The sequence below is a fragment of the Homo sapiens genome, chromosome 7, assembly GCF_000001405.40.
Source record: "Homo sapiens chromosome 7, GRCh38.p14 Primary Assembly".
NCBI classification, from domain to species: Eukaryota; Metazoa; Chordata; class Mammalia; order Primates; family Hominidae; genus Homo; species Homo sapiens.
This window is the reverse complement of record NC_000007.14, coordinates 80,503,831-80,515,903: the sequence shown is the minus strand read 5'-3', so window position 1 is coordinate 80,515,903 and position 12,073 is coordinate 80,503,831. Positions and strand designations below refer to the sequence as shown.

The 12,073-nt window shown below is 33.8% G+C and overlaps 1 protein-coding gene and 1 long non-coding RNA gene across 2 annotated transcripts in view; one reads left to right on the top strand and one right to left on the bottom strand.

The window, feature by feature from the left end:
- Window positions 1–1,305: 1,305 nt before the first annotated feature.
- The window catches only part of LOC107986812 (uncharacterized), a 28,132-nt gene continuing 17,364 nt past the window's right edge, over window positions 1,306–12,073 (bottom strand). The window contains exon 3 of the long non-coding RNA XR_001745252.2: window positions 1,306–2,859. This is a non-coding gene — a long non-coding RNA (uncharacterized LOC107986812). The remainder of the gene's footprint in view (window positions 2,860–12,073) is intronic.
- Window positions 3,840–12,073, top strand: part of GNAT3 (G protein subunit alpha transducin 3) — a 53,430-nt gene continuing 45,196 nt past the window's right edge. The window contains exon 1 of the mRNA NM_001102386.3: window positions 3,840–4,095. Coding sequence (NP_001095856.1) covers window positions 3,978–4,095 — 118 coding nt within the window. The 5' untranslated portion in view covers window positions 3,840–3,977. The remainder of the gene's footprint in view (window positions 4,096–12,073) is intronic.

Genomic DNA, 12,073 nt, shown 5'->3' with positions numbered 1-12,073 from the left:
AGGAAACCTAAGTGAGAAGCTGTTGCAACAATCAGGGCTGAAATTGCTGAGAAATATGATTATGGGAGTTAGTAATAGAAATGTGTTAAAGAGCAATATTTTAAAAATCTTAAAAGAGACAGAATTTGAGATAGGAAAAGGCACCCTGGGAAACAGTTGTGACTCTTATCCAATAATCATATATAAAATTCTATCCTAATTCATAAAAAAAATGTAGAAAGGTAGAAATCAACTCCAATGAAAAAAATACATATTTGTGTTACCTATTAGTACATAAGAGCTGTTTAATGTTGGCAATGTAAACTTGTTGCACCATCTGAATGTACTAACTTGAAAGAGTAAGGTTTGCTTTATTCCCTCAAGATCAAAAGATTGCTCTTAGGAAGCCCCAAAAGGCATGAACTCTCTGGAAGAAATACCAGGCTTGGAGCTCCCTGAAGTGTACATTTGAGCACCATTAGCAAAGGAGAGATGGTTTGCCTCAAGTTTCATGGGAATATACAAGGATAAAGGTCATTGCTAAGGCAGCCACAACTCAAACCACCTAGGGATAGAATGCCTGAAATCAAAACCTCCTATAAGATTGGAAACAAAATAAAGAGTAACACTGATCACAGCCTGTTTTGGCAATTTCCAGCATTAGCTGAGCCATTGAGACATCCCTAAGACGTAGCAACCTCAAGTCATTGAAGTCAGCCACAGGTAACATCCCCACGAGCAATTCAGCTTGATGACCGTAGAAACGCAGGTGATACTGGCAAAAGAGACATCTCCAAAAACATAGATTGAAATCTGGTTATTAAAAGCAGGTAGCAAATAATTGCATGTCACCTCTAGCTATATGTTTAATCATCGATGTAAAATAGTGATTACTCACACTTTTTAAAGGCTAATGTTGCTTTCTGAAGATTCCACAGAGATCCTAACCAAAAATAGCAACAGAAAATTTATTTTCATCCTCCATACTTGTGGTATTTCAGTGACTATTGGAGGTTAAGTGTGGTTCAATCTCTGTATTTGTCCTCAAATCAATTTTACTGTGATGCAATAAAGAAACAATATTCTTAAACGTCATTCTCAATGATTATTCTAAAAGACCACTGCACTCCAACACAATCTCTTGCTTTTTGTGTGTGTGCATGGGCTTGTGCATTCACGTTTTTGTGCGTGTCTGTGTGTGCAAGTGTGTGTACACAGGGCAACCATCTCTCCTAGCTGGAACATACATTAAGTTGGTGCAAAAGTAATTGCGGTTTTTGTAATTACTTTTAAAATGACCAAAAGCACAATTACTTTTGCACTGACCTTACATACATGTGTGTATGTCTGTGTGTGTGTATGTATGCATGTATAAAACTCTAACATGATGTTGGTGTTTTGGCTAGCTTCACATTTCTTGTTTTCAAGAACAAACAAAATTTACGGTCACGGCATCTAATTTAGCTTTTTTTTTTTCTGTTGTCATCTTCTATCAGTTTTCCCTTACTGTAGAACAAACAGGGCTTAACAATTGAAAAGGAGGATGCTGCTATTACTTTTAAGACTGAGGAAACAAATGTGTGACTATTGGACTAATAGCTACAATCGTATATACTGACACTATTTAAAACTAAAATTTGGCTTTTTGTTGATTTTTTTGAGTCACTCCAAAATTTTAGAAAAGAAATCCTAAGTATACTGTCACTAAGCACAGGAAAGAAAGGGCCTCCAGCCTCTATCAGTTTGTCAGCAAGAAGTAATTTTGAACATTTACTATAACTAGTACTGTGCCATATACCATGTAGACCATTCAAGCTAGTAAGATATTATCACCACGCTAGCGGAGTTTACTATTTTGATTTTCCTCATTTCTTTACGTACAGAAAGCTATATGACTAAGTGAAGCAATATGAACTAATAGCTGTATTAAGCCCAGCTCATTAATGATGCTGTGTCCGAGGCACCCAGGGGAGAAGGCTGAGAAATGAGTCTTGCTTTCCTCTCTAGCTCTCCCGCTCTCCCTCTCTGTAACACAGACATACCTAGAGTTTTATGTCAAGAATATTTTAATCACTGATGAAAAAATCACCTGATAATCTCATCAAGTTGATGAACATTACTGGTTACAACAGAAAAGTGGAAGTTCATCGTTTTATACAGTGCAGAAAATGTATACTCCTACTCCTGAAAGAGTTGGTCAGTTTTAGTTAGTAATCCCATTAGGAAGCCTTAGTAAAACATGTATGTTCCTAAAAGCAGGGTACGTCTCTGCCAAAAAGCTATGAGGTATATTTATGCTTGTATGCAAATTATATGATGTAGCCTGTCAGTTCGTTTCTGCCATAGAACATGCAAGAATTCTGTTTATTCAGGGTGCTATTATATTCAATTTCTATAAAAAAGCACTAGGCAAAAAGAGATTAAATGTGCTAAGTGTTGCTTTCAGAGTGGACTTTGTGTTCACAGGTGAGCATTAGGCCGTGCAAATCTCCTTCCTTTGGGACAGGCCCTTTGCATTGTAAAAGCAATACCACATGATTTGCACAAATCCTTGCCTATCCACCACTGCACATCTTTATACTATCATAATATGGCTTTGGAAGAACGGAACCCAGGAAGTTTTGACTATGTTTATGTATCTTCAGCCTAATATTTTTGATGTGGAAAAAGTAAACAAAGCAGGACTATGTATTTAATCTGGCAGCCTATTTTCTTGTTGCATGAATATGTAAAAACTCACCTGTTCAAACTTTGCACATGATCCCACAAGAAGAGCACCACTGACAGGTTGGTGGATTGACTGTATTCTGGCATTTTCTGGTTAAGCACATTCACAAATCCCAAAATGCACACTGAAAGATGTGCCACAGGCAACCGACTCTGTTCATAAGGAAAATATTGATTGACTATCTACCAAGCACTTTATGCTTCATATAAATAAAAAATTGTGCAACATAATCTCTGCCCTCAATCCTGAAGATTTTCAAGAAGTACATGGTATCTGTTGGGGTAGTTGAAAGCTATGGAACTTATTTAGGTGTAATTACTGTTTTTAGTTTGTAGGAAAAACCAAATTACCTGCTGTTTCAAAGAACATTGGTTTTTATTCCCTTGGTACCAAATCAGTAAGAGTCCCTCCAGCACAGCAGCTGTTGCTTAATGGCCCTAAAGAGTTAATGCGCTGCCTAAATTGAACATAGTTCAGTGTCTACACCAAGTGGGCCCTCAATTAGTGTTGATGGATTGACTTTCTCACAGGCGGCAAAAGCTCAATTTATAGAGATGGATCCTATGACACTAAAATCAATAATTTAAGAAAACTGTGTTGAATTTTATATTTGTAGCAATACAATATGTACAAATATAAAAACTATATGTATTTGTATCCATTGTTAAAAAAAAGATTTTTTTTGTTCCCTGACAGATGCTAATAGATGCTCAATAGCTTTAAGTAATAATCTAAGCATAGGTAGACCATAAAAGTTGGATAACTTACATGTATATATTCTGATTGTGATATAGGAGTGATTATAAAGAAATTGAAGGGCCAAATATCTGAAGATAAGATGTAAGCATCGCTGATTAGTAATAATAACTTTTAATCACAGTAATAAAAATTGCCCAGTAGTGAGAAACATTCTATTTGAATTGCTTATTGTAGATCATCTCTAGTGTATAGATTTTGACAACTTTCTACATTATTTTATACTATAAAGCAGATAAGCCTGTTTTCGAAGATGTGCCCGAAGCAGTCATTTAATTTGAAAGCATAATGAACTTCCTCTCTAGCCTCCATCAGGGGGGTATGGTTTTACCACCTGATCAGGTGACAGATGAGAAAGCATCTCCTTAGTCAAAGCAGAATCTTAGAGCATTAGGGAATGGACTGCTAGGTACTTCAGCAGAGCATTACTCTTGCCTCCTATGTCCAAACCACAGCTGTGCTCAACATTTGAAAAATCTGAACATATAAACTGACAAGTATCTACCACCACAAGATGGGAAGTGGAATTAGTTCAGAGAGCAAGGAGTCAGCCAAAAGATCAAAAGAACTGGAGAAAAAGCTTCAGGAGGATGCTGAGCGAGATGCAAGAACCGTAAAGCTGCTACTATTAGGTAATTTCTTTTCCCTTTTGCTTTCAAAAACCTGACTTTTTTTTCAATTGTGATATATTTACTTTTCTCAGACTTTAATTTCGAGTGTATTATCATATGGGAAATTTATTATAAAAATGTGTTTGGAAACTTAAGGAAAATTTATTTGTACTCTATCAATATTTAATAATTTTTCTGTTTAGTATTTTATTACCTTTTTGTTAAGCAAGGAGGCAAATATTTATCAGCTAATTTCTCTGTCAGTAATATGGTTTACTATTATTAAAATAAAAATCAGATACATTTATTATTTTATTGCACCCTAATCATTTTCTGAATGTCAGCTTTTTAATACTGAAAGAAATCCTTTAGCTACAAGTTATAAAGAGTTATATTATTTTGTTTAAACAGAAATAGGTTGAATTGTTTGACGTTGAAGTTAATGTTTGTTATTTACTTGTATAGTTAAAAATCAATTAGTCAAGTTAGAGAACAATGATAAGGTACTTTAAATTATATTAACAATATTACTTAGGCTCCTGAATACTGCCTGCAATATTGCCTGTACACTTGAAAAATACTCTACCTAAATCCTTTTAGAGCATTTATATATTCATTCAGGTCAGGATTTATGTCTCTTTTATTTTTTTTTCCTTCTTTCAAAACTCAGCACTGTTTTACCTTGACTATAAATTCAATAAATGTTCAATTAATTGAAAGAATAAAAATAATCCATATGCAGATTTTTTCTATAAAGCATAAAACATTTTACATGCAGTTTCACTGAAACAGAAATATGTTTTTGAAATAAAAATGATGACCTATATAAAGAATACAAAGCAAGCACTTACTTCTGATTCAATTATGAGTTGTACTTTCTCCCTGATTTTGGTTATACACAAAAGGACTTCATCTTATTTCAGAATCGTGCATATTTCACATAACAAATTTCCTCATATTTTAAGTATTTAAACACTTAAATACTTAATATTAAATGAATTAAATACTTAAACTTATTTAAGTATTCCTTCGTTGTGTCTAATTTGCTCCCAGTGGCAAGAGTGTTTCAGAAGCCAACTGTGGGATTCCCAGCACTTGCTCCTTAAAGGAAAGGAAACATCCTTGCCCCTTACACACAGGTTCTGTGCCTGCACACAGGCCCACAGCACTTGTCAGTAACTACCCAGAGGTTGGTGACTTTGAAAGATGTGGGTTAAGTACTAATGACACCAGGAAATATATGCTTCCTAACACACCATAGAATTCTGTTAGTTTCTGAGCAAGAGTGAAAGTAATATGGACACAGGAAAAGCAAATGAAAGGTAAAAGGGAAAGACAAGCATTCTTACAAATTCATTTTTATATTCCTTTTGTACTAAGATCAATGACATAAGAATGGTGATAAAACGTATTAAAAATTTCCGTGTTTAAATAACATTTCAATAGATGTGTGTTTTCAATATACCAATTATCTATTTTTTTACATATTCTCTTATTTTGTAAAAATACAAATGGAAAGCCAAAACAATGAAAGAGCTAATACCACAATTTAGACTAAGACAAAAACTATTAAACATGCCAAAAGCAATGACTCTTGAGATAAGCATATCAGAGCTGCCAGTCAACTAGAGATTCAGTTGTGACGGAAAAGAACAAGGTAGAAAGGTGGTTTCTAGGGGCTAGGGTGGTTGGGGGGAACAAGGGGAAAGGGAGTTGTTGGTCAAAGGACACAAAATTACAGTTAAATAGGAAGAATAAATTTCAAGAGATCTACTGTTCAGCACGGTGACTATAGTTAATGATGATCTATTGTATTCTTGAAAAATGTAAAGAGAGTAGGTGTTATGTGCACTTACCACAAAAATGATAACTGTGAAGTAATACATTTGTTAATTAGCTAGATTTAACCATTCTACACTGTATTTTTACTTCAACATATCGTGTTGGACACAACACAAGCATGGAATGTTATTTGTCAATTTAAAAAAATAAATTAAAAATGTTCAAAAAGAGTATATATAGATGAATGAAAACACATCACTGAAAATTGGGTCAAAAAGGTTCAATGTAATGATGGACAAAAGAAAGATTTTTTTTAAATTTGGAACTGAAAATCAATGGACTACTGATACATACAGGGTTCCAGAATTAGTAAATTTTACCACTCCACAGAGCCATTGACTGGGACCCAACTTATTGTATGCAATGCTATCAAATGAAAAATAAGTCAGATGAATTATTTTTAGACTTAAGTGTTGGTTAGATCAAGAAGAAAGAGCAATATTTGTACCAGAAGTATAAAAGAATCATTAGTGGGACTATTACATGTTTTACTTTCCCAAGGTGTTTACAATTTTATACATACAATTTCATCATTAGTAAGTAAAATACTTGGATTTATTTGGTTCCAACACTATGTGCACTAAACTCCTTTGTCACATTTTATTTATACAAAATAAATGAAATTCTCTTAAGTTGTTCCTATTTCAATTATATTACAAACATCTGGCTAAGTTTCCCTTTTGGAGTCCATCTGAATTCTACATATGATGATACAATTATCAAATTCATAACAGTCTTATAACAGCTCTACTTCATTCTCATGTTTGGATTGAATTCAAATTCTCGAAACTGTAATTTTTATATTCAATTTGACCTCATTAAGACATTATAAAAGTGCTTAGTTGAACTAAACCAAAACTTTCCACTCTCCTACCCTCAAATCTCCTCACCAATGAAATCTATTTAATTTTTCCCATCATTGAAACGATGTTCTCATTCATCAGTGTCGTCTGAATGACACTTTTAAGTTTATCAGTGAGTACATGTCACATGGAACTAACCAGTTTAACCTTAGTAGTGATCAGCTCCTGAGTCAATACCTACATTTACAAAAATAAGAAATCTAAAAAACACTTTTGACAGATTTTTTTTCAGTATGTTGATCTTCATCTAATGAATTTCTAGAAGCTTAAACTCATAACACCAACTTTCCACATTTAACATGTACTGCAAAGCGGATGTAACCATTTGGTATTATCGAACACAAGATTTCACTGAATCTGAAGAGCGGTCAAAGTGCGACTTTACAATTAAAGGATCATCTTGCAGACAGATGCCTTTTTTTATTACACCTTTCAGACCTTCAGTAAAATTACAGAACAGATGCCAAATCTGTGTTTTATTTTAGCAAAAAGTAGGCTTTTAGGAAACACTGGAGATGACTCATACATTGCTGAGCACATTTGATAACTGCAATCAAGAAAATAATGCCACATGCTTTAAAAAATTTACTTGCAAAGATATTCCAGAAAGAGCACATTTTAATAAGAAAAACAAATTCTAACGGATAAAATATTCTCATTTGTATCTAAGTACGTTTTAAAGTTTTATAAACGTTTCATTCAATGGTACTTTTATTCAAAATAATACCTATTATTTAATTGTAAACTCAATATGGATCATGTTTCCATTTTTCCTTTCTCCTCTCTTTATGCTTATTACATCAAATTTCAGTTTGAGTTTATTTTGCTGCATCAGTTTCGTTTGTTTTTTTTGCAAATTTCCATCACATGGGCTGCTTAGATTTGAAGCCCCATGGAAAGCATAGGAAAAAAATTAGCTTTCTTTTTTCTTCATATTCAAAACACCCTCTGCCACATTTATATATATAATTAACATTTATTCTACAATTTTTCACTTTTAGCTAGTGATTTCCAGCATTATCATGGGAAGTTCATCATAGATGTTCTTTTCTTTTAGTTCTAAAACCCTTTATTTTTATTTTTTCTTTGTGCTATATTGTAAGAGTCACACTATTATTATTTTAATGATGTAATCTGAGTTTTACTGTTTTAAACTATTATTCCACTTATCTGGCTTTTAGAAACATGAATAGGGATGGAGTCTAGAGATCAAAAACTACTTCGAAGGTAATATATTTATTGTATTTAACATTTTCAAACTTTTCAAATGGTTTCACTTATTCAACAAATGGATATTCTGGAAGGTATGTAGTAGGAGAATTATGATTTTTGATGCTATCTAAAGGCTTGTCACAAAATAATTAGTAAAATAAAACTCACACAGCAGAATTAGATAAATAGGTTTAACCATGCAGCAGAATGAGGAGAATACAATTTAATACTAGAACAGAATGCATTTTTAAATCACCTGAGGTGGAAATTGATTTATTAATACCTTCATCAACTGTAATGCGTTTTGTACTTCCCAGAGTGACCTTAGGCTAGCCACATAAACTCAGAGAAATAATGGATGTCAAAGTATTTTGTAACTTGTAAAGATCTAGACAAACGTGGTTTATTCTTTGGCATAAGAGATTCCCAAATATGAAATAAATCAAATGTCAATAAATGTGTATCATTATTCTTCCTTTGTCTTTCTTTTACATGTAACTAAGAGAAGTGAGGACTCAAGACTCAGGTTAAATTTAAATGATTATTTTTATTCTATGTGTGCTTTTTAATGTCTTTATTTTTTTTTAATTATCCCTAGATATGAGTGGGAGAGATTCCAGGAAACTAGAGTTGTTTCTGACTTACTGGTTAGATTACAAGTTCATCAACTCTAAGAAACACTATTTTGAAATTTTATTACACCAACATAGTCCATGCCTGTCCATGGATAAGATCAGATAAACACATTCTTTGGAATAATTATATATTAGGATTAACCAATAAGTCCCCTTCTGATCACTGGTAAAAAAGAAGAATCTTCTTAACAACATGTAAAACAAATTCCCAATAATGTTTCCAACTTTTTGTTTTGCCTTATTTATCCAAATTAAAACCATTCTTTCCTTCCTCCAACTATAGTACCTTTTTATTTTAAACATATTTATAAATATTACAAAATATTTTTATATAGCATAATGGCTACAGTTAATGACATCGTATTGCATTCTTGAAAACTGTTGAGAGTGGATAAGTGTTCTCACCACAAAAATAACTACGCAAGGTAATGCATGTTAATTAGCTAGATTTAACAATTTCACAATGTATATATATTTCAAAATGCCATGTTGTACACAACAAATACATACCATTTTCTCTGTCAATTTAAATAAACAAATTATTTATTTTATGTTTCTAGAGGTATCCAATCTTTGGGATGCATGAATATTCTTAATGCGAATGTTTAAAACTGCTTCTCAGTGAAGTGGAAAGAAAACTTTAGGCAGAAAAGACCTACTTGGAGAGTTTAAATTTTTCTCCAAAATGCAAAGGGCTACAACAACTTGAAAGTTCCCGATATTTACAGTTTTCAGAAAAGTTGCCAAATATTTACAATGTTGCATTTATCCATCAGAATGGCCCATGGCAGCATCAAATAGTTTCCAATAATTTCCCTCTTTTCCAACAAGCAAAAGCACATAGACAAATAATTTGTGTATATTTGACTGATTGTTTTAGATGCATTTATCTCAATTGATCAGCACATCTTAAAAGCAGGCTCGTAAGGCACTCGCGTAAAAGATGCAAACCATTTAGTAAAACATTCCACACTTAGCCAAATGATAGTATTTGCTAAGGAGGTTGAAAATTCTGGCTTGCTGACAATGACTCTTGCTAACTACAGTTTAACAAGCTCTCTAGTAATATTACAGAACATATTTATATTCGCATATTTTCATTCGAGCATGAATTATTGACTCAAGACAAATATTTTATCTTTAAAAATATTTATATAAGCAACATGAGCAGTTAACAAGTTATTTACCTCTCCATACTGTTAGAAAGGAAAGGTAGCAAAACACATTTCATAGTGTAAGGATTCCATGATCTGTTTTATATAAAATAAAATATACTTCCGTTTAAGGTATTAGACCCAAGTTCAGAATCCATTCCCTACTTATTAGGTTCGTGCAAAAGTAATTGCAGTTTTTGCCATTGCTTTCAATAATTTTTCTCCAAATACTGGTGTGCAAATATATCAATGTAGAATTTGAACCTAAAGTAGGATTAAAGGTAAAACTGAGTTTAAGAATCCATAAGATATGAAAAATATCCATTCTGTTTATTACAAGATGCAGTGCTAATAAAAAAGGGGGAAGTCATGGGTTTGATTCCTGTCTCAGTATATTTCAATAGAATAAATTTACTACTTAAAATTGTTTTTTAAAGATATCTAGAAATATCGCTCTCTGCCAGGCGCAGTGGCTCACGCCTGTAATCCCAGCACTTTGGGAGGCCAAGGTGGGCAGATCACAAGGTCAGGAGATCGAGACCATCCTGGCTAACACGGTGAAACCCCGTCTATAATAAAAATATAAAAAGTTAGCCGGGCGTGTTGGCGGGCGCCTGTAGTCCCAGCTACTCGGGAGGCTGAGGCAGGAGAATGGCGTGAACCCGGGAGGCGGAGCTTGCAGTGAGCCGAGATTGTGCCACTGCACTCCAGCCTGGGCACAGAGTGAGACTCTGTCTCAAAAAATAAAGAAAAATAAATTTAAAAAATCACTCTCTAACCAGAATTTTATATTCTATTATCTCTCATACTTTTCCATATTTAGTGAATTAGTTGTCTGATTTAATCTACTTCCTTTTAAACAGGGCCAGTCATTTCAGCTGTGTTCCTCCTAAAATTCAGGAGTATTTCACCTCCGTAATCTTCTACCTTAATTGACATTCAAACCCTCAACCCTGGATAATCCCTCAGAGTTCTCCATTTACCATTTTCCTGATACACTTCTCCCAACTGATTTTCTTGAATGTAATGCTGTTTAACAGCTTTTTCAGCTCTTAGTGCTGATCTAACCCTGATCCCTCTGTAAATTCTTACTTTCCTTCATTCCCAGATGTTGTAGAATAAAACAGTGTATCATTTTCAGTCTCCTGGCTGACACATATCACGTTTTAAATTTAGCTGGGCCAATAATTATTTTACTTATTCATTTTCTTCTAAAATGTTCCAAAGGCAGCTCGTCGCACATTTCCAACATCACTTTCATCTTGAATCTCCCCCCAACCTCACCCTAGATGATCACTAATATGCAACAAAACAATTATAAATGATCATCTCCAAATCTCACTAAACATTCACGTATTCTTATATTTTCACTAGTTTTAAAGAAGCAGTATTCCATTTTCATTTCAGATTAGTTTCAGCCTTTGTGCTATAAATTCTATCACCTTTCATATCTTAAAATTTTTGTTCCACTAATTATTTTTCATTTTGTCATCTTCAAAATTATCTATTGGCTTTTTCTTCATGGCAAATACAGATGTTTCTCTTCTTTAGCCCAAGAAAATTTATTTGACTTCAACACACCCTTGAATTCACCTTATATAGATATCTTTTAAAATGTTTTTATATTGAAATACTTCTCAAAGGATGCTATGCTCACTGCTTCTATTTTCTTATCCTGTTTAGTCTCTTTCATTAATTGCAATGTAAGTTGTATATATGCTCTTCTCTAGTAAAAAGTTATCCCTCACAGAGTGCAGATAATGGCCAATTCACAAAATTCACATCTCAATAATTTTCTCTCTCTTTTTTTTTAAAGACAGGGTCTTTTCACCCAGGCTGGAGTGCAGTGGTGCAATTACGTCTCACTGCAGCCCCAACTTCCTGGGCTCAAGTGATCCTCCCACCTCAGCATCCACAGTAGTTGGGACTACAGGCGTGTGCCACCACACCTGGCTAATTTTCCTATTTTTTGTAGAGACAGAGTTTCAGCATGTTGCCCAGGCTGATCTCAAACTTCTGGGCTCAAGCGATCTGCCTGTCTCGGCCTCCCAAAGTGCTGGAATTACAGGCATGAGCCTCCACCCTGAGCGATAACTTTTAAACTAAGTCTGAACTAAACAGTCCTCAATTTTATATCCCTGTATTCCTCTCTTCATTGAAGCTTGCTTCTTCTTTCCATCTATAAGTGGATTCATCTACCACGGTCTGTTCTTAAACCTTGGTGGGTTTTAGTCTGTACTCTCTTATACTCTCTTTTGAGGACCTCATAACAGAACTTAACTGATATGACTCT